Source organism: Homo sapiens, chromosome 10 (genome assembly GCF_000001405.40).
Source record: "Homo sapiens chromosome 10, GRCh38.p14 Primary Assembly".
NCBI classification, from domain to species: Eukaryota; Metazoa; Chordata; class Mammalia; order Primates; family Hominidae; genus Homo; species Homo sapiens.
In genome coordinates, this window is record NC_000010.11 from 79,641,693 (window position 1) to 79,664,404 (window position 22,712).

The window sequence follows — 22,712 nt, forward strand, 5'->3', positions numbered from 1 at the left end:
TATATATTATATATACATATATAATATACTTATATATAATATATATTATATATATTTTATATATGTATATATAGTATATTATATATAGTATATATTTATATATTATATATAATTATATATTATATATAGTATATATTTATATATTATATATAATTATATATTATATATTTATATATAATATATTTATATATTATATAATTATATATTATATATTTATATAATATATAATTACATATTATATATTTATATATTATATATAATTACATATTATATATTTATATATTATATATAATTACATATTATATATTTATATATTATATATAATTACATATTATACATTTATATATTATATATAATTATATATTATACATTTATATATTATATTAATATATTATAATATATATTATATATTATATTAATATATTATAATATATATTATATATTATATTAATATATTATAATATATATTATATATTATATATATATTTATATATATTTATATATAATTATATATTATATATTATATATTTATATTTTATATATATTATATATATTATATATTTATATATTTATATATTTATATATATTATAAATATATATATAATATAATATATTTATATTATATGTAATATATTATATAATATATTACATATAATATATAATATATTATATATAATTATATATTGTATCTTTATATATCATATATATTTATATGATATATATTTATATATCATATATATTTTTATATATATGGAAAACACATTTTAACTAGGTTCTGCACTCTCTCCTTTATCACTTTTTTACTTAGCTCAGATTTAGAACAACGTGAATAGTTCATGAGCTCAAATGTTCTCCCAAGTTCAGTTAATAACACCAGCTTGAGGTTGCTGTACACACTTAATAAAATGTGCTAATATTTAATAAAACTAATATTATTAATAATTACCTCATAGACTCTCCACTCTTTCCCTTTTTCACAATAAGCAAATCTCCTCTTTTTATAAGGCTCAGATTGGAGGGTTTATGCCATATTTATTTTAATACACTGACTTCGTGAAGATATCCTGAGAGTTCTAGAATTTTTTACATTAACATTTTCAGATTGATTTATCATGAATGTTATTCCCTGTGCATCTCTTTTTCATTTGTAACTGTTTATGAGGACTTGTTATGCACCAGATATTTTGCTAGCAACTTTATAAGCAGTATCCCATGTAATCCTCAAAATACTCTATGAGGAATTTTTGTTATTTATTCTCCTTTACAGGCAAGGGAATCTAAATCTCAGGGAAGTTCATTACCTGTTCCAATGTTACAGAGGAGAAAGGTGATGGAACTGGGATTTTAGTTCCATCCAGGCAATCCTACATCAGCTCTCACTTTTAATCTCTTCCCAACTTTGTCTCTCTCTATTTCTTTTCAGATGATAATGATTTCATAAGTATGATTGATTTTGCCTGACTAAGCCAAACTATATTAGCACGTTATTAGGTTAGAATAACTTAATCCCTTTACTTGGAGAAAAAAAAAACAAATCAATTAAACAACTGCATTGATGAGACAGAGGAACTGTTTTAGGCATAATGTAGTCTAGAAGTTTTTCAAGTGTGATCAACAGACCAACAGCATCCACATCATACACAAATGTATTAGAAATGCAAATTCTTGGGTACCATTCCAGCATGAATGAATCAGAAACTAAGGAAACAGCAATCTGTCTTTTAACACGTCTTTTAAGTGAATTTTAGATTCCAAAATATATTAACCACTGCCATAATCAAGGGGTCAATAAATTAATGAACATGAGTCAAGCTTAGGCACCTCTTATTTGTTTGCTTTTTAAAATTTTAATATGATATACATACATCATTAAAAAATTTTAAGTGTATAATTCTATGGTAGTAATTACATGCAAAATGTATAAACATCAGAACTATCTATTTCTAAAATTAGCTCATCACTCCAAACAAAAACTATACTCATAAAACGGTAACACCTTTTAACTCTCCCCTCACATCCTAGTAATCACTAACATGTTTTCTATCTCTATGAATTTTCCCATTCTAGATATTTCATATGTTTGGAATCATACAATATTTGTCCTTTTGAGTCTGGCTTATTTCACTTAGAAAATGTTTTTAAGGTTCATTATGCTGTAGTGTGTATCAAAACATCATTCTTTTTTATGGCTGAATAATAATCCTTTGTATTTATGTACAACATTTTGTTCATCTATTCATTGATTAAAGATTCATCTGTTAGGGTTTTTCTACCTTTTGACTATTGTAAAAAATGCTGCAAAAAAAAAACACTGGTGTACAAGTATCTGTTTGAGTCACGCTTAAATTATTTCGGGTATATACCTAGAAGTGGAATTATTCTATGTTTAGCTTTTTGATTAACCTCCAAATTGATTTCCACAGTAAGTGCACAATTTGATATTTCCACCACCAATGTAAGTGTCTTTAACTTTATCCACATCTTGGCTAACCCTTTTTCCTCCCCCTACTCTCTCTCTCTCTCTCTCTATATATATATATATTTTAATGTATTTATGTATTTATTTTTTATTACAGTCATCCTAATAGTTGCGAAGAAGGCCATGAGTGCTGGCTCATACCTGTAATAGCAGTACTTTGGAAGGCTGAGGTGGGCTGATCACCTGAGGTCAGAAGTTCGAGACCAGCCTGGCCAACACAATGAAACCCTGTCTCTACTAAAAATCTGAAAAAAAAAAAAAAAAAAAAAAAAAAATTAGCCGGGCGTTGTGGTATGTGCCTGTAGCCCCAGCTAGTCCGGAGGCTGAGGCAGGAGAATTGCTTGAACCTGGGAGGAGGAGGCTGCAGTGAGGTGAGACTGTGCCACTGCACTCCAACCTGGTTGACAGAGTGAGACTCTGTCTCAAAAAAAATATCGTTGCGAAGTAGTGTAATAATATCTCACTGTGATTTTGATTTTTATTTCCTGAATGACTAATGATGTTAACTCTCTTTTTATGTACTTGTTGGCTATTTGTACATTTTCTTTGAAAATGTATATACCAGTTCTTTGCCCATTTTTAAAATAGGTTCTTTAGTTTAATTAATTCTTAATAATTTATCTTTATATTGCATTTGCTTTTAGGTTCTTGGTCATGAAATCCTTGCTTAAGCCAATGTCTAGAAGGGTTTTTCCAATGTTATCGTCTAGAATTTTTATGGTCTCAGGTCTTAGATTTAAATCTTTAATCCATCTTGAGCTGATTTTTGTATAAGGTGAGAGATGAGCATCCAGTTTCATTCTCCTACATGTGGCTAGCCAATTATCCCAGCATCATTTGTTGAAAAGGGTGTCCTTTCCCCACTTTATGTTTTTGTTTACTTTGTTGAAGATCAATTGGCTCTAAGTATTTGGATTTATTTCTGGGTTTTCTATTCTGTTCCATTGGTTTATGTGCCTATTTTTATACCAGAGCTTTTGCACTGCAAAAGGAACAGTCAGCAGAGTAAATAGACACCTGAAGAGTGGGAAAAAATATTCACACTCTATACATCTGAGAAAGGACTAATATCCAGAATCTACAATGAACTCAAACAAATCAACAAGGAAAAAACAAACAATCCCATCAAAAAGTGGACTAAGGACATGAATAGACAATTCTCAAAAGAAGATATACAAATGGCCAACAAACATATGAAAAAATGCTCAACATCACTAATGATCAAGGATGAGTGCACCAAATCTCACAAATCACCACTAAAGAACTTACTCATGTAACCAAACACCACCTGTTCCCCAATAAACTATGGAAATTTAAAAAATAGCTTCTTTGTCTTCTGTTATTGAGTTTTAAAGATTCTTTATATATTTTGGATATTAAATCCTTATGAGATATATGATTTGCAAATTTTTTCCATTCTGTAAGCTATCTCTCACTTTCTTCATAATGTCCTTTAATGAACCGATGTTTTTAATTTTGATAAAGTTCAACTTATCTAGTTTTTTGTTGCTGTGGTATTTTTGGTGTCATATTTAAAAATCCATTGCCAAATCCCAGTTCATATTTATCCCTAAGAGTATCACGGTTTTGGCTCTCATATTTGAGTCATCGATTCATTTTGAATATATTTTTGTATATAGTATGAGTAAATTTTTTACATATGGTGTGAGTTAATTTTTGTATATGGGATGAAGCCTAACCTTAATTTGTCTTTGGAAATTCAGTTGTCCTAACATCATTTGTTGAATATTTTTCTTGACTTGGCAGGCTTGTTAAAAATAAATTTTCCATAAATATATGGTTTATGTCTGGATTCAATTCTATTCCATTTATCTATACACCTATCCTATGCCATTTCCATGCTGTTTTAATTACTGTAGGTTTTTGATAAGTTTTGAAATGGTAGAGTTTGAGTCCTCCAACTTTATCTTTGTTTTTTAGGATTTCCATGTACAATTCTGGAATTTGAGAATTGGTATTTCTGTTTCAGTAAAATGACTATTGGAATTTTACTAAATATTGTATTGAATCTTTAGACAGCTTTGGTAGTTCTGCTATTTTAGCACTATTAATTTGTCTTCAAATCCATCAACATAGGGTTGCTTTCAATTTGTTTAGGACTTCTTTAATTTCTTTTGGTGATGCTTTGCTCTTTTCAGTGTACAAGTGTTCACATTTTTCATTAAATTTATTCTTAGGTGTTTTGTTCTTTTAGATACTATCATAAATGGAATTTGTTTCCTAATTTTGTTTTTGGATTATTTATTTCTAGCATATAGAGACATGAATGAATCTTGTGTGTTGACCTTGTAATATGCAGTTTTGCTGAATTTTTTATTAGCTCTACTAGCTTTCTGATGGATTTTTTTTCAGATTTTTTTATATGTAGAATTATGTAATCTGAAAAGAGAAATAATTTATTCCTTTCCAGTTTGGATGCCTCTTATTTGTCTTTCTTGCTAATTGCTCTGCTAGAAGTTGCAATGTTCACTAGTGATTAAAGCAGACATCCTTGTCTTGTTCCTGATGTTAAAGAAAAGTGTTCAGTCTTTTGCCATTGAATATGTTGTTAGCTGCGGGTATTTTTAAAATGTCCTTTATTAGGTTAAGGAAATTCCCTTCTTTATGCTCAGTGACTTTTACCATGAAGGTGTGTTGAATTTTGTCAAATGCTATTTCTGTGTCAATGAATTGATCTCCTTTTTTTCTTCTTCTTCTTCTTTGCTGTATTACATCGGTAATTTCAATGTGCTGCTTTACATTGATTGGTTTTCTTACATTGAACTACCCTTACATTTATAAGATAAATTCTTCTTGGTCATAGGGCATAATCCTGTTTAGGAATTTGGTTTCCTAGTATTTGGTAAAGAGTTTTGCATTTATATGTGTAAAGAATATTCACCTGTAATTGTCTTTACTTGTGGTCTCTTCATCTGTACTTACACTAGGAGAAATGCTTGCCTCATAGAATGAATTAATCAGTAATATCTCCATTTCTGTTTTTGGGAAAGTTTGCCATGCAATTTTTGCCAGTTCGTCTCTAAATGTATCCTATAAGTTACTATTAAAACCATCTGGTATTCGCGGTAGCTCACGCCTGTAATCCCAGCACGTTGGGAGGCCAAGGCGGGCGGATCACGAGGTCAGGAAATCGAGACCATCCTGGCTAACACGGTGAAACCCCGTCTGTACTAAAAATAAAAAAAATTAGCCGGGCGACGTGGCGGGCGTCTGTAGTCCCAGCTACTGGGGAGGCTGAGGCAGGAGAATGGCTTGAACCCGGGAGGCGGAGCTTGCAGTGAGCCGAAATTGCGCCACTGCACTTCAGCCTGGGCGACAGAGCGAGACTCCGTCTCAAAAAAAAAATAAAAATAAAAAACCATGTGGTAGGTATTATAATTTTCTTGATTGGGTGGTTTTTTTTTTTTTTTTTTTTTTACTACAACTTGTATTTCTTTACCTATTATTGCTCTGTTGACATATATATTTTATTTCTTCTTGAGTGAGCTTAGGTAATTTGTGTGTTTCTAGAAAATTCAACAATTTCATCTAGGTTATCTAGTTTATGGCTTAATTTGGTCATATTATTCTCATAATCATTTTTATTTCTATAAGATCAGTAGTAATAGCCCCAGTTTTATTTCTGATTTCAATTATTTATTATCTCTTTTCTTCTTTATCAGTATAGAGTAATTTGTCAATTTTGCCGATTTTTTAATAGAATCAGCTTTTGGTTTTATTATTTCTTTCTCTATAATTCCTGCCCTGTATTTTATTTACTTCCATTTTAATTATTATTATTTCCTCTCTTCTACTTGTGTTTAATTTGCTCTTATTTTCTGGTTCATAAAAGTCTGAAGTTATGTTATTGATTTGAGATCTTTTGTACATTTTTTAATGTAGGCTATTGCAACTATAAATTTTCATCTGAGCACTGATTTTGCTTCATATCATAAGTTTAGTATGTTGTGTTGTTATTGCATATCTTCAGATATTTGTAATTTCTCTTCTTTGATCCATTGCTTGAAAAGGCACTCATGGTTTAATTGCCATATATTTGTATATTTTCCAGTTTTTCTCCTGTTGTTGATTTAAAGTTCCACTCCATTGTGTTCCGAGAAGATGCTTTGTATAAGTTTAATGTTTTTAAAATTTATTGAAGAATTCTTTGTTGCCTAACACATGGGCTATCAGAGAGAACATGTATTCTGCTGTTGTTGGGTGGAATGTCCTGTGTATGTCTATTAGGTATAGTTGATTTATATAAACACTATACTTTAATTCCTCTATTTCCTTGTTGCAGATTTTCTATCAAGAATTTGAAGTGGCCCATTGATGTCTCCAACTATTATTGCAGAACTACGTATTCTCTCCCTAAATTTTGCCAATATTTGCTTCGTATATTTTGGGGGGCCCTGTTGTTTAGTGTGTGCATATTTATAATTGTTATATCTTCTTGATAAATTGATCCTTTTATTAGTGTTTAATGCCCTTGTTCCAATTGTAACAGTGGTTAAATTAAAGTCAATTCATGTCATACTAGTAGAGCCACACCACCTCTCTTTTGGTTACCATTTGTATGGAATATATTTTTCTGTTTTTCACTTTCAATTTATTTGTGGCTTGCAACTAAATTGAGTCTCTTATAAAAAAAATGTAGTTGTGTGATTTTTAAAATCCATTACACTGACTTTTGCCTCTCAATTGGAAAGTTTACTTCATTTACTTTTATAGAAATTATTGATGAGAATTACTACTGCCATTTTGCTTTTTGTTTTCTATATGGCTTACAATTTTTTGTTCATTTCTTCCCTTAATAGTTTTTTTGTGATTAGTTGATTTTTATAGTAAAATGTTTTAAAAACCTCTGTCATTTTCTTATGTGTGCATTTTAAAAATATTGTCTCTAACTGCCATAAGGATTCTGTTTAATATCTTAAATTTATAATCCTCTATGTTTTAATTAATGCCAACATAATTTCAATAGCATGAAACACTCCATATCTGTGCAGTCCCCTTACCCATTTCATGTTGTTTCACAAATTACATTCATATACATTCTGTGCTGAATAACATAAATTTATAATTATTTTTATAAATTTTTTCAACATGTATAGAAAATAAAAATGGAGTTATAAACTAAAAATAAAATAATGCTAAGTTTTATAATTGCCCATGGACTTACTTTTTCCAGGAAACCTTTATTTCTTCATTCATCTTTAGGTTATTGTCTAGTGTCTTTTCATTTCAACCTGAAAGAATCTCTTTAGCATTTTTCATAGGACACGTCTGTAGGTTATAAACTCCGTCATCTTTTGTTTCTCTGTAAATGTCTTAATTCTTTACTCATTTATCATAGAATGTTTTGCTAGATAAAGAATTCTCAGTAAGCAGTTGTTACTGTTTTTGGTCTTTCTTTCAGGACTAAAACATATTTGTCCACTATCTTCTCACTACCATCATTTATAATGAGAAAATAGCTCTTAATCTTATTGAGAATCCCTTGTACATAATAAATCGATTTTCCCTAGCTACTTGCAAAATTGTCTGTTTGTCTTTAGCTTTCAATAATTTGACAACTGTATATCTGGAGAAACCCCGTATATATGGAGAAACCCCGTCTCTACTAAAAACACAAAAAATTAGCCAGGCGCAGTGGTGCATGCCTGTAATCCCAGCTACTCGGGAGGCTGAGGTAGGAGAATCACTTGAACTTGGGAGGCGGAGGTTGCGGTGAGCCAAGATCGTGCCAGCCTGGGCAACAATAGCAAAACTCTGTATCACAAAACAAAAAACAAAAAACAAAAACAAAAACACTAAATAATTCATTTAGTATGGGAGAGTGTGAGGAAACAGAAAATTAAAAAAAAAATAGACCAGCAATAATGTCACTTTTTCATGAATTTGTTAGTTCTTTCTGAGCTCCACTTACAGTTACTTTCCCATTCTTCCCTGCACACCGTCAACACATAAGGACTCAAATTAAGATGATGTATATGTTTACACTCCAAAATTTTTAAAGAAAAAGGAGAGAGAGAAAAAAAAGTAAAAGAAAAGAAACCCAAAAGGGAAAATAGCTAAGGTGAACTGGTGAGTTTCTACTCAGATTTCTTATTATTGAGTATGATGTATTTTGTTTTCTTAACTTATGTATAATGAAAATGGAAGAGAAGAATTATAAATCATAGTTCATTTTTATGATTAGTACATAAATAAAATTTGAGTCTTTCTTGGCATCCATTACTTTATCTTAAAAACACAGAGTATTTACTTTTTGTGTGGCAAAGGAGGCCTAATGGGGAACCTTGACCTTCATCTCAACTTGACAGTAAAAAGGTGCTCCTTCCTTCCCCTTTTGCTTGCCATGTGTCTGAAAAAGACTAGTAGCAAGAATATATAAAGAACTTTCAAAACTTAAGAGTGAACAAAGTCAAATTAGAAAGTGGGCAAAAGACATGAATATACATTTCACTGAAAAGAATATATGTTTGGAAAATCAGAGCATGAAAAGATGTCAACATCATTAGCCATTAGGGAATGAAAAATTAGAACCCCAATGGGATTTCAATATATGCCCAATGGAATAGTTACAATAAAAAATAATGACAACATTGAGTGCTAGCAAGGCTGCAAAGAAACTACATAACTGCTGCATGGTTGATGGGAATGTAAAATAACAAAGCCATTCTCTGTAACAATTTGGTACTTTCTTTAAAAAGCAAACAAACAGTTTAACAGGCAATGACTTTATGACTCAGTGATTTCACTCCTGGGCATTTACAGCAGAGTAATTTTTAAAAACCACGTTAATTCAAAAACTTTACACAAATATTCAGAACAGCTTTATTTTTAATAACCCCAAACTGGAAACGACCCAGACATTTTTGAAGGAGTGAATAAGTTTAAACAAAATGTATTACATTCATGCAATGAAGCACTACTTAGCAACAAAAAGAAGCAAGTTATTGATATAGACAACAACTTCCATACATTTTCAGAGAATTATGCTGAGTAAATAAATCTGACCACAAAAGATTATATGATGTAGAATTTCCCTTGTAGAACATTACTGAAGTGACAAAATTATGAGAATGGAGGAAAGATTAATGGTTATCAAGGGTTAAAGATGAGGTGAAAAAGAGGAAAATAGATGTGGCTAGGAAAGAACAACATGAGGGATTCCATGGTAATGGAAATATTCTGTATGTTGACTATATCAATCTCCACATATTGGTTATGATATTGTACTATACTTTTGCAAGATGTTACCACTGGGAGAACTGAGATAAGGTTACAAGAAATCTCTCTATATTATTTCTTATAACTGTAAGTAAATCTACAATTATATCAAAATTTAAAGGTTATTTTAAAAAGAGAGTTCTTAAATTAATAATTCATTCTCCCAACCTTAGAAATTAGAAAAGGAAGACTAAACTGAGCACAAAGCAAGAAAAACAAAGAAATAATACAGATTAGAGCAGAAATCAATCAAATAGAAAATAAAACAAAAAACAATAAAGAAATTTAAAGATCCAAAGTTTGAATCTTTGAAAAGATAAACAAAATTGAGAAATACTTAGATGATGAATAATAAAAAAGGCCGGGCATGGTGGCTTACGCCTGTAATCCCAATACTTTGGGAGGCCGAGGCAGGTGGATCACTTGAGGCCAGGAGTTCGTGACTAGCCTGGCCAACGTGGTGAAACCCCATCTCTACTAAAAATACAAAAATTAGCCAGGCATGGTGGCGGGTGCTTGTAATCCCAGCTACTCAGGAGGCTGAGGCAGAATTACTTGAACCCAGGAGGCGGAGGTTACAGTGAACCCACATCCTGCCATTGCACTCCAGCCTAGGCGACAGCAGCAAAACTCTGTCTCAAAAAAGAAAAAAAAAAAAGAAAGAAAAAAAAATAATGTGTTGATTACCAAAATCAAGAACAAAGGTTACTACTACCAATCCTCCCCCATCTCATCCAAATATATGAATTATAAGGGAAATACTATGAAACACTTTGTGACCACAAATTATACAACTTATATTTAAGGTAGAAAGTCTTAAAAATATATAAATTACCACAGCTGAAATAAAAATGAATAGAAAATCTGAATAAACATGTCAAATTAGCAATTAAAAGTCTTTCATAAGGAAATATACAGGACCACATGACTTCACTGGTAAGTTATTTCGCATATTCAATGAAGAAATGATACACATACTCAGAAAATAGAAAAAGAGAGAAACTTCCCAATTCATGTTATAAGGCCTATATTCAAAAGCAAAAATGAAAAAAGAAAGAAAGAAAAAGAAATTTTTAAAAACAAAAAAATAAAAATTAAATTACAGATCAATATACCTCACAGATATAGACACAAAAATCTCCAATAAAATATTATCAAACTAAATTCAACCGTATATAAAAATGATTGCACTCCATGACTAAGTGAAATTAATCCCAGAAATGCAAGACTGTTTTTGTATTTTAAATACAAAATGTAATGTAATATACTATGTTATAAAATGAACTAAAATGAAATGATTATCTCAATGATGCAGGAAAAGGATTTGACAGAATCTAATGTGAATTAATAAAAAAAATAGAATGGAAATTCTTCAACCTGATAGAGGACATCAACAACAACAACAACCAAAAACACTACATTTTACAGCATAGCTAATGGTGAAAGACTGGATATTTGCCCCTCAAAATTGGCGACGTGCCAAAGATGTCTATAAAGTTTACTCTCCCTAATTCTATCCAATATTGCACTGGAAGTTATAGTCAATACAATGAAGAATACATCAATAAAGCCATCAGGAAATGGAAGTGGCTGGGCTCAATAGCTCAGGCCTGTAATCCCAGTGCCTTGGGAGGCCAAGTCAGGAGACTTACTTGAGGCTAGGAGTTTAGAACCAGCCTGGGCAACAAAGACAGATCCTCTTCTCTATGAATTTATTTATTTTTTTTAAATTAGCCAGGCATGGTGGCATTCACCTCTCAGTCCTAGGTACTCAGGACGTTGAGGCAGGAAGATCACTTGAGCCAGGAGTTCAAGGTTGCAGTGAACTATGATTGCAAGCTACTACACTCCAGCCTGGTAGATAGAGAAAGAGACTCTATCTCTTAAAAAAATTAAGAAAATAATTATATTCACAATACTATACAAATAAACCCTTGGAAATACATTTAGCAAAATATGTGTAAGAATTGTATGCTGAAAACTAATAATCTAAGCAAATGGAAAATCATTCCATGCTCATGGATTGGGAGACCTACTCTTGTTTTTCTAGTAATTCTCCCATCATAGATCTATAGATTTAATACTATTGTTACCATACATTAGCCATATTATATGAACATAAATATTTCATTTGTGAGCCTCATATCTAATTATTTGTTATTTACATATAATTATTTTAATATAAGCTCTTTGAAAAGCACTTTAAAAATGGTTCCCTGAGACCTTGGCTTTCAAGTTCTAATTAAACTATTCAATATGAACTAGAAAATTTAGTAAACAAAATGTCATCTTCCGCCTCGTTATCTTTTTATTTGGAAAACTATGTTAGACTCCAAGGTATTCACTCCTTACTTCAATGTAGCAGAAGTAACCAGTTTAATTGTTCAGAACCTGACATTTATTTAATCATGTCTTCTTAGTGTTCAGGTTTAGTGTCTTCAATGACTGGATGCCAATCTGCTTCCTTTTTGACTTTCCTAGGCTCGGATTCATCAGATTCTCTACTTGCGTCATTTGCAATGGAAAGACCCTCCCACAGGGTAGAGGTTATTCATTCTCTATCTCTCTCTCTCTCCACCACAATTTTTGCCAAGAGCAAGTCAGGTTTTTGGTCAAGCTAGGTTTTTACTGCATGCTTTCCTTCAACTAAGTGTGAAAGAAATCTATTAAATAATATTTAATTTGGTCTCAAATGTGAACCATACTCTCCAACCTAGTATTTCTACCAAATAACCATGAACTGAAATTTACTTCATAGTTTTGACCTTCATAAATTGTTTGTTTCCCCATTTATCTCCAATTCCTATATGTTTTTAAATTATTGATATCAACTCTGGAGAAAAGAATAAGTCTTACACCCGGCATAACAACAGGTACAATTAAAGAAGTATGTTCCTTAACATGAGAAGAATGTTAACCCATTTCAATCACAAGTATTTGATTTTTCCATGAGTAACACTATGCTATGCATTGTGGAGTTTACAGAAGAGTTGAGATATGATCCTGACTTCGTGGTACATAATTTCATTTGATAGGGCAAGGCATATGTAATTCAGTAAAGATATAGATGTTACTGATGTACATGAGAGCCTTGTGGGCTGAGTTCCCTTATAGAAGTGGAGTTTGTGCAATCTTGAAAATGGGTAGCATCTGGATAAGAAAAGAATCAATCAAGTAAGAGAAATGTCCCCAAATTGCTTCCACAATGTTAGAACAGCTTCCTTCAGAAAAAGCTACATAGACATTTAAATTTAAAATTATAGCATCTTACAAACAAATATATAAATACCATTTACTTTTATGTCTAATACATTTAGAGAAAGTATCTAAGTCAATGTTAAAAATTCTATTTCAAATCCTCGCATGCATCTCCTTTCACTAATTAAATAATAGTGAACTGTGTTTTGAAATCATCAGACACTTCAAAATTAGTTTTCTTTTCAAATAATGCAATGTAGTAAAATGTGGACTTGCAAAGTTCTTATTTTACTGTGATTCTTCTATGAAAATAATGTAGAACTATTTAAAATTTTTCCTTAAATTTTCCACAAGTGTAAAGTAGGTAAAACACCACAAGCAATATTTGATGAATTATTACAATGTATTACATGTCTTTTACTTAATATGAGTTATACACTGAGAACTTTTTTTTTCACAATAATTCTCCGAGATGAAGATAAAGTGGATGAAAACTGGAAGTAAAGATGTATTCACCCTACAAGACTTAATAGTGAGACTGTGCTTAACTCAAGATTGCGTTGGCCAAGGGATTAAAGAGGCAGAGGAGAAACTGCTTCCAATGTTGTTTCCCAATAAATCAATAAAACTTGTCAGGGGTTTTCACCCAAGGAGAGAGTAACACTAATCTCTATCTTCATGTATACATTTTTTCCAGGCTTTTGGAGCTTGTCAATGATTCCCAAACTTGGCTTTATATTAGACTCACCCAGAGACCCATTAAAATCCCAATGTCACCAGGCATGGTGGCTCACACCTGTAATTCAAGCTACGTGAGAGGTTGAGGCAGAAGGATCCCTCAAGCCCAGGAGTTTGAGGCTGCAATGAGCTGTGATCATGCCACTGTACACTAGCCCAGGTGACAGAGTGAGACCCTGTCCCCTTCTCCCCAAAAATCCTGATGTCCAGGTTATCAAATTAGAATTTTTGAAGGTAGGATTGAGGCAGTGCTACTAAAAGCAAAGACAAAAAGAAGCAAGCAAGCAAACCACTTGATTCTAATATGGAACAAAGGTTGAGAATCACCAGATAGAAAAAGAAAACAAATTCATCAATACTGATCGTCTATTACCTTTAAATAACCTAGATCTCAAGAGATCCCAATATACAAAAGCTTTGGCTAGGACCTGAGAATCTATTATAATTAGCATTTTCATTAATCTTAATATCTCACTCATATCATGCACAAAATTCAATGTAAGATGGATCACAGACCTAAATATGAATGCTAAAGCTTCTAGAAGAATACTTTGAGGAACATCATAATGATCTTGGGTGAGATAAATAATGATTTTTTTTCTAGAGCACAAAATGTATTAAACATAAAATAAAAATTGTGTTAATGTCTTTACTATATTAAACTTATATTCATTTATTCAAAAAAACCTCATTACATATGTAAGGAACTCCTACAACAACAGAAAAAGATAACTTAAAAAGGGGGGCAAAAAGATTGAATAAATTTTCTTCAAAGACATACAAATAGCCAAAAGGTATATGAAAAGATGTTCAACATCACTAATGATCAGAGAGATACAAATAAAAGCCAAAATATGATATCACTTACCACTCATTAGGAGAGGCATTATGAAACAAAACAAGACGTAACAAGTGTTGGCAGTGATGTGGAGAAACTGGAACCCTTGTACGCTCTTGCTGGGGATGTAAATTGGTTCAGCCACTGTGAATTACAGTATGTAGGTTCCTCAAAAAAACTAAAAATAGAACTAATATATGATCCAGCAATCCTACTCTTGGGCATATGTCCAAAAGAATGGAAATCAGGATGTGGTAGAGTTACCCGCATACCCATGTTCTTTGCAGCATTACTCACAAAACAACAAAATTTGAAAACTTAAATGTCCATCAGCACATAAATGAATAAAGAAAATGTGGTGTATAAATACAATGGAATATTTTCAGCTTTAAGAAGGAAGGACATTCTGCCATCTGCAAGAACATGGATGAACCTGGAGGATATCATGCTAAGCGTGATAAGCCAGTCACAGAAGGATAAATTCTGCATGATTTCACATATATGAGCTTTCTAAAATAGTCAAACTCATAGAAATAGAGAATAGAATGGTTAGGGGCAGGAGGAAGAAGGGTTGCTGTTCAACAGGTATAAAGTTTCAGTTGTGTAAGTTGCATAAGTTCTAAAGATTTTCTGTGCAACATCACGCCTATGCTTAACAGTGCTATATTGTACATTTAAAATCTTACTAAGAGGATAGATCACAAGTTATGTTTTTACCTCAATGAAAAATGAATAGAAGTGTCACAGTTAGATAACACATTTGAAATACATAGACCTGACAAAATATTTCTATGGAAAGTAAATAAATCCTACAAATTGTTATGCAGAAGATACATCACTCAATTAGAAGTGGGCAAAAGACTTGAACGGTCAGTTCATAAAAGAAGACAGCCAATTGGGGAATCAGGATAAGAAAATGTGCTGAAATAGTTGGTCATCAGAAAAAATGAAAATAAAAACCTCAGTGAGATGTCATTACGTATCCAAGAGAACTGGTAAAATTAAAATGGCTAAATACCTGGAGACCGATATGGGAGGATAGCTTGAGCCCAGGAGTCCAAGGCTGCAGTGAGCTATGATTGTGCCACTCCACTCCAGCCTGTGTGATAGAGCAAGACCCCATCTCTTAAGAAAAAAAACTGAGTACTGAATATAGCAAGTGTTGAAGAGGTTATGAAGCAAAGAAAATCTCATACATTTGTGGTGGAAGAGTAAATTTACAGCTATATTTTAAAGAAGTTTGGCAATTTCTTATAAAGTTAACCTGCACACATACTCAGTGACATCATGATTCAATTTATAGGTATATACCAAAAATAAATGAGGGTGTGTATTCACACAACAGAGACCTATATAAAATTATTCACAGCAGGTTGTTTTTGTGGGCAAAAACTGGATGTAACAACTATAAAGTGGAGAAGAGATAAATTATGATATTGACTTACAGAGTAATAATACATAGCAATACAAAATAAAATATTGACACATAAAACAGCATAGATAAATCTCCAAAACATCATGTTGAGTAAAATAGGTCAGACACAAAAGCATAAAATCTATATGATTCCAGACAAATTTGACCAGTGGTTATTATCGACTGGAATAAAGCAGCACAATATTTTCTGTGGTAGTGAAACTGTTCTTTATCTTGATATGGCTGGTGTGAATATGAGTGCAGAAATACATAAAGTTAAGGTACACATCTTAAATTTGTTCATTTTATGAAATATAAATTTGGCCTTGGTAATGCACCTCCAAAATTTTTTATTAGGGCTATAATTAAATTTATATTTTTCTTTATAAAAATGCATGATGTATCACATTATATTTGAATATTTTTCTAATAGAAGACCTTATGGCTTAAAATTGAGTATTCTGTTTAATACTTATCATAAATTTATAATTTAATAAGTGATTTATAACTGCACAATAACATTACAACAATTTTATGTTTGGGTAAAATTGTCTTTATTTTAAATTTAAGTAGTACAGCAACTTTACATGGCTTACCTAAACCACACAATTATTAAGTGATATAATTGGGACTCTAATCCAGGGCTGTTTCTAAGTAATATGTTCATTTTTCTTCAAATTGATAACTTGAATACATCTTTTGAAAAAATTTTTATTAATTTTTTTAATTTAATTAATTAAGATACTCTCAAATTATTGACGATTATGTGGTTCTTATAACACTAGATGGGTTAAAGTCATACTTTTGACTTCTATTATTTATGTGATTTTATGTGATCTTGGCCATTCAGCCTTTTTTTGGTAAAAAGGGAATGATAATATCTCTCAAGAGTATTGCAAGATTTAAATGAAATTAAATGTGTTGAAAGCTTCTTTAAGAAATGTACAGAGTGCATAGAAGAATCTCAATTTTTATAAGTTTCTCAATTTTCCCTTTACATTTTCATTCTTATTGTCATCTGTCTCTCACTGATGCTGCTGCTTCTCATGTCGCCCCCTAAGTGCAGACTAGTTCTCACCCTCAGTGCTCTAACCACTGCCTCTAGAAGTAAAATAAGTGTCCTCTTGCAGAATACTTCTACTTCCTTCTCCTCAAACCCCTCCAGCTTGGAATCTCATACTATTTGATTATATTGATCACTCTCCCAATGTTTAGTCACTTTCCCTCATTCTTTGCAGTCTTTACAACCTGACTTAACTGCCATTATTTTGATGTCTCATTTAAATTACTTATCTTCTTTGACATTTGACCTCATCATTTCCAATGTACTTGCTATCTTCAGTATCTAGCTATTCAATCTCATGATCTCAGCTCAAACCACGTTATTACTCCTAATTGCAAATTTTTACAATCTAACTTTTAAGTCTCCTGCCTTCCGAACATTAACTTCTATCTTTCTAGTTCATTCCATTTACTACAACTTCAAAAATACTGTGACTCATCCTGGATCTACAATCTCATACAATATACAATACAGTCCTTATACAATTCTCAATCCAGTTTTCTCCACACATCCTTTACTTCTCAGCAAACCCACCTTCAAAACATTTAAATAATTTTTACTACTGCTGTTATCCACCCAGGCCAAGCCAAAATCATGTCTCATCTGAATTTTTATCCCCCTTCCTGCTTCTGCATTGGCCCTCACCCTCAGTCTATTCTCAATACCCAAGCAAGAATATAACATAGTATCATGGAGATCATGCCACTCTGCTCATTCACTTTTAAGGACTTCTAATTCCACTCTGGGTCATTATTGTACAGATTATACAGCTCTACTCATGCTCCCCACCAGGCACACCTCTTTGATCACAGCCCTGTTGCTCTTCCCCTCATGCCTCTGTTCTAGTTTTGCTGTACCCAACACTTCCTGGTGCTCTTTGGGCAGGCTGGGAATTGTCTCTGTGTTAGCCCATTCGAGCAGCTATAACAAAATACCATAGACTAAGTAGCTTATAAATGACAGAAATTTATTTTTCACAGTTCTGGAAGCTAAGTCCCAGATCAAAGTGCTCACATATTCCATATATGATGAGGCCCTATTTCCTAGTTCATAGACCCATCTTCTTCACATGGTGGAGTCGTCATATGGTGGAAGGGACAAACCAACCCCCTCAGGCATCCTTTATAAAGGCACCAATCTCCTTCATGAAGGCTCTGTATTCATGACATAATCACCTTCCAAAGACCTTAACTTTTAATAGTATCATACTGTGAATTACATTTCAACCTATGAATTTGGAGGGGGGTGGTTGTCAACATTCAGACCATAGCACTCTCACATTAGATGCTTTGTACATGGTTTCTCTGACTGAAAACACCTGTCTTCAAGTTCCCCCCTGAATTGTTTCCTTATCTCCTGGATTAGTTCCTTCTCATGCTGCTAATAAAAACATATCCTAGACTGGGTAATTTATAAAGGAAAGAGATTTAATTGAGTCACAGTTCTGCACAGCTGGTGAGACCTCAGGAAACTTACAGCCATGGTGGAAGGGGAAGCAACACATCCTTCTTCACGTGGTGGCAGCAAGGAGAAGTGCCAAGCAAAATGGGGGAAAAAACCCTGATAAAACCCTCAGAGAACATGAGAATTCATTCATATCACAAGAATAGCAGCGTGGAGGTAACTGCCCCCATGATTCAATTGTCTCCCACCAGGTCCCTCCCATGACATGTGGGGATTATGGGAACTACCATTCAAGCTTTAGATTTAGTGGGGGACCCAGTCAAACCATATCACCTTCTTCAAGTCTTTCACTCAAATGCTACTGTCTCCGTCATGCCTTCCTTATTTCCCTACTTAAAATTATATCTCCTCCTCGTGTTCTTTATTTGCTTTGTCTGCTTTACTTTCCTCCATAGCACTTAGCAACACTTAACATATTATGTAGTTTAATTATTTATGTTGTTACACATCTCCTTCCAAGAGAATGTAAGCTCCAAAAAGGCATATTTTTCTTTATTTTCTTTTTTTCACTGCTATATCCGCAGTGTCTACAATACAATGTGGTACAAGGTAGGAGCTTAATGTGAATGAATGAATGTTAGTCGTATTACCTTTTAAATTTACCTTATTTTTTAATTTTCTACATTTTCCACATTCCTTCATCCTTTCCACCTTCCTACATCCTGTGGGATGTGCATACAGAAAGCAGCAACATTAAGGTAAAAAGTTCAACCTTTGGATTAATATTTAAATCTTGAGACAGTTTTGCTTTTCTGTTGCCTTTAGCAAAACCACATTCCTGCTGCTGTCAGTTATGATGCACTGAGAAAACTTCAGAGACCTAAACTTTTTCCAGAGAAGAGAAGCTTTACTGGTGTTCCAGCCCTAAGATGAGACCAGCTAATGCATCCTGGTTTATATTTTATTTTGTCGCCTTTATTCGCTTTCTCTTTATTTTTCTTTTCTTCTTTCTTACATTGTATTTCTGTTTGGAAAAGACCATGTACAAACAGAGTAATATGTGGATCCATGCCTATCCATCTTAGTATAATCATGTATTCATTGTGCTTTGTTGTATACATTTGGTACGTATTCTAAATATGGACATATGCTATGTATCATAATGTACATAACCATTTCTCTATTGATAGACTGTTACAGTATTTTCAATTTCTGATAACAGCAAAAATGATCCTTCAGTTGCTATCATCAGTATTTATTTGTACATATCAATGATCATTTTAGAGGATTAAAAACAGAAGAAGAATTTTTAGGGAAACCATGTATAGTTAAAATGTGTATATACTTTTCACATTTTCATAGATAAAGAGCATCCCTATTTTTTTCCCCACTAACAACAAGACAAGATGGCTGGAGAAAAATAAATCACCAAATATCATAAAGATACTTGCATGTTTTATAAGTAATTAATAACTACTTTCTCATAACAGTAAAAACTATTTTGTTTTGTATGAGAGGATTTTTCTCTCTAAGTTTTAAAAAATCATTACATACAAATATATCACATCAAACCCAAAAGCCATTGCTAGCACACTGGTTCCTGTCTTAATATTAAGTATGAGATAAAAGGCCTTTATCTTCCAGAAAGTTGTTCATAACATGCCAAATATGTGAACACCCAATAGTCAAAGGACATTATCTCTATGATGTAATTTTGAAAGTTGGTAAAATAATTGTTTATCAATTTCATCCTACAAGCACACAATTTAAACCATTCTTTTAAAGTGGATTTTAGAAGATTGGAATAGGGAGTTATAGAAGTCAATCCCTCCACAAAAACTGCCATTAAACTGGAAAAAAAAAGAATTAACCTTTTTGGAACTCTGGATCCTAATCAGATAAATAACAACCATTAGTAGACTGCTTGATGCTATTGGCCTTTAGTAAGAAAATGGCTGTATGCACACACCAGATACTATCACTCATTCTTATTCACAAGAGTCAAAAAGTGAAAACAAACCTGTATGTGTAGATAAACAAAATGTGGCATGTACATACAAGGGAAGATTATTTAGCCATAAAAAGGGAATGATGTTCTGATACATGTTTACAACATGGATAAACCTTGAAAACATTATGCTAAACAAAATAAGCCAGACACAAAAGGACAAACAGTATATGATTCTACTTACATGAAAGATCATGAATAGTCAAATTAATGTAGAGGGAATGCAGATTGCATGTTTCCAGGGCATGGAGGCTGGGGCAAAGGGAATGGAGAATTAGTGCTTAATGGTACAGAACTTCTGTTTGATGTGATAGAAAAGTTATGAAAACAGTGTTAATTATAGAACATTGTGAATGTATTCAATATCACTGAGTTTTAGAATTGAAAATGATTAAATGGTACCTTTTATGTTATGTATATTTACCACTGGGTAATAAAATTGTATTAACGTAGAGGCAATTTTAACAGTTGTACCACTCTGGAGGAAGATATTGATAATGAAGGAGGCCATGCATGTGGAGGCAGGATATATTACATACATAATATAATATATAATATATATTATATTGTATATACACATTATGTCAGGGTGTGTGTGTGTGTGTATATATATATATATATTATGTCAGGGTGTGTGTGTGTGTATATATATAATATACCCTGCCTCCACATGCTTGTTATATATATATATATAGTAATATATGGTATATTACCATATATAATATATATTACTACATATATATGGTAAATCTCTACGTCTTCCTCTTAATTTTTCTGTGAAACTGAAACTGCCCTAAAAAATTCAAGTCCTACAAAAATGAAAATGAGTTAGAGTACTTTTTTTTTTCTTTGAAACGGAGTCTCGCTCTGTCGCCCAGGCTGGAGTGCAGTTGCGCGATCTCGGCTCACTGCAAGCTGCGCCTCCTGGGTTCACGACATTCTCCTGCCTCAGCCTCCGGAGTAGCTGGGACTACAGGCACCCGCCACCGCGCCCGGCTAATTTTTTTTTTTTTTTTTTAGTAGAGACACGGTTTCACCGTGTTAGCCAGGATGGTCTCGATCTCCTGACCTCGTGATCCGCTCGTCTCGGCTTCCCAAAGTGCTGAGATTACAGGCGTGCAGGCGTGAGCCACCGTGCCCGGCCGAGTTGAAGTACTTTTTCTGGAACAAAGAAACTTAGCATAAATAGTTAAAATAGTAAGAATTGTAATTAAGGGAAATTTCAGCTCAATATGACTTCAACAGTTTTAAAAATGTATTATTTCACATAAGACCATGGAGAGAGGAATTGGAAGCCCCAGAATTGATTGGGTCAGAAATTGAAAATGATATTATCAGTGACCCAGGTTTGAATGTCTCTCCCCACAGCATTGACTTCACTAATGGATGTGACCTGGTTGGCAGCAGCAGCTTGCACAACATGCTTGTTTGCAGTGAGTAGTAGAGAGAAGGTTTTGCTTTCCCAGAAACTCTGAAAAAGGTCATCAAACCTAAATTTCCTTAGCCTTTTTCTTCCATGAGCAAATCACTAGCAGATGACTGCTAGCAAGGTGTTACTATTACAATGAACCCCTAAGTGTCAGAGAAAGAGTTAGTTTGGGGAAATATCCTCTCCACCACAATCTTAGTCATTGAAGTCAATTTAACAATATATTGAAATATTTTTCTTAGAAGTTTAAAGTTCCATTAAAGAGTAGCAATTACAGAAATTATAGGTAGCCTTTAGTTCTACAAGTGACATTTCAAAAGGGAGATGATTCATCAATTTCAAACTTTGCCTGCAAATAATACTGGATGAAAATTAACTTGGCAAACATAATTAATAATCATGGGTTATTAATTACTTCTGCAAGGTGGGTGTGCTGATTTTAAAAGGCTTGAATAAAACATAAATTTCCTTAATTTATACTGTAAATGGAGTAATTTGGTGATGTAAATGGTAATATGTAAGTGACTTCTGCTTCAGATCTTACAACTTAAAATATTTTTCTAAAATTAGTTTTTGTACCATCTCTCCAGCATGTTCCAGCCTTTATCAGTCAGTCCAGGCTTCTATAACAAAATATCATGGACTGAATTGCTTACACAACAGACATTTCTCACAATTGTAGAAGCTGGAAAGTGCAAGATTAAGGTGCTAGCAAATTTGTTTCCTGGTGAGGGTCCTCTTCCCGGCTTGCTGTATCCTCACATAGCAGATAGAGAGAGAAAGAGAGAGAGAGAGAGCACTCTATAGACTCTCTTCCTGTTCTTCTAAGGACACTAATTCCATTGATGAGGGCCCTACGCTCATGACTTAGTCTAAACCTAATTAATTCTCAAAGGCCTCAC

At 32.7% G+C, this 22,712-nt stretch overlaps 2 long non-coding RNA genes across 2 annotated transcripts in view; both read right to left on the reverse strand.

The window, feature by feature from the left end:
• LINC02679 (long intergenic non-protein coding RNA 2679) overlaps nucleotides 1–21,493 on the reverse strand; it is a 34,429-nt gene extending 12,936 nt beyond the window's left edge. Inside the window, exon 1 of the long non-coding RNA NR_134315.1 lies at nucleotides 21,451–21,493. This is a non-coding gene — a long non-coding RNA (long intergenic non-protein coding RNA 2679). The remainder of the gene's footprint in view (nucleotides 1–21,450) is intronic.
• LOC124900288 (uncharacterized) lies at nucleotides 1,828–15,553 on the reverse strand. The gene is made up of 2 exons (XR_007062216.1): nucleotides 15,511–15,553; nucleotides 1,828–14,636 (listed from the first exon to the last, which is right to left on the reverse strand). It is a non-coding gene; the product is annotated as an uncharacterized LOC124900288 (long non-coding RNA).
• Nucleotides 21,494–22,712: the final 1,219 nt, after the last annotated feature.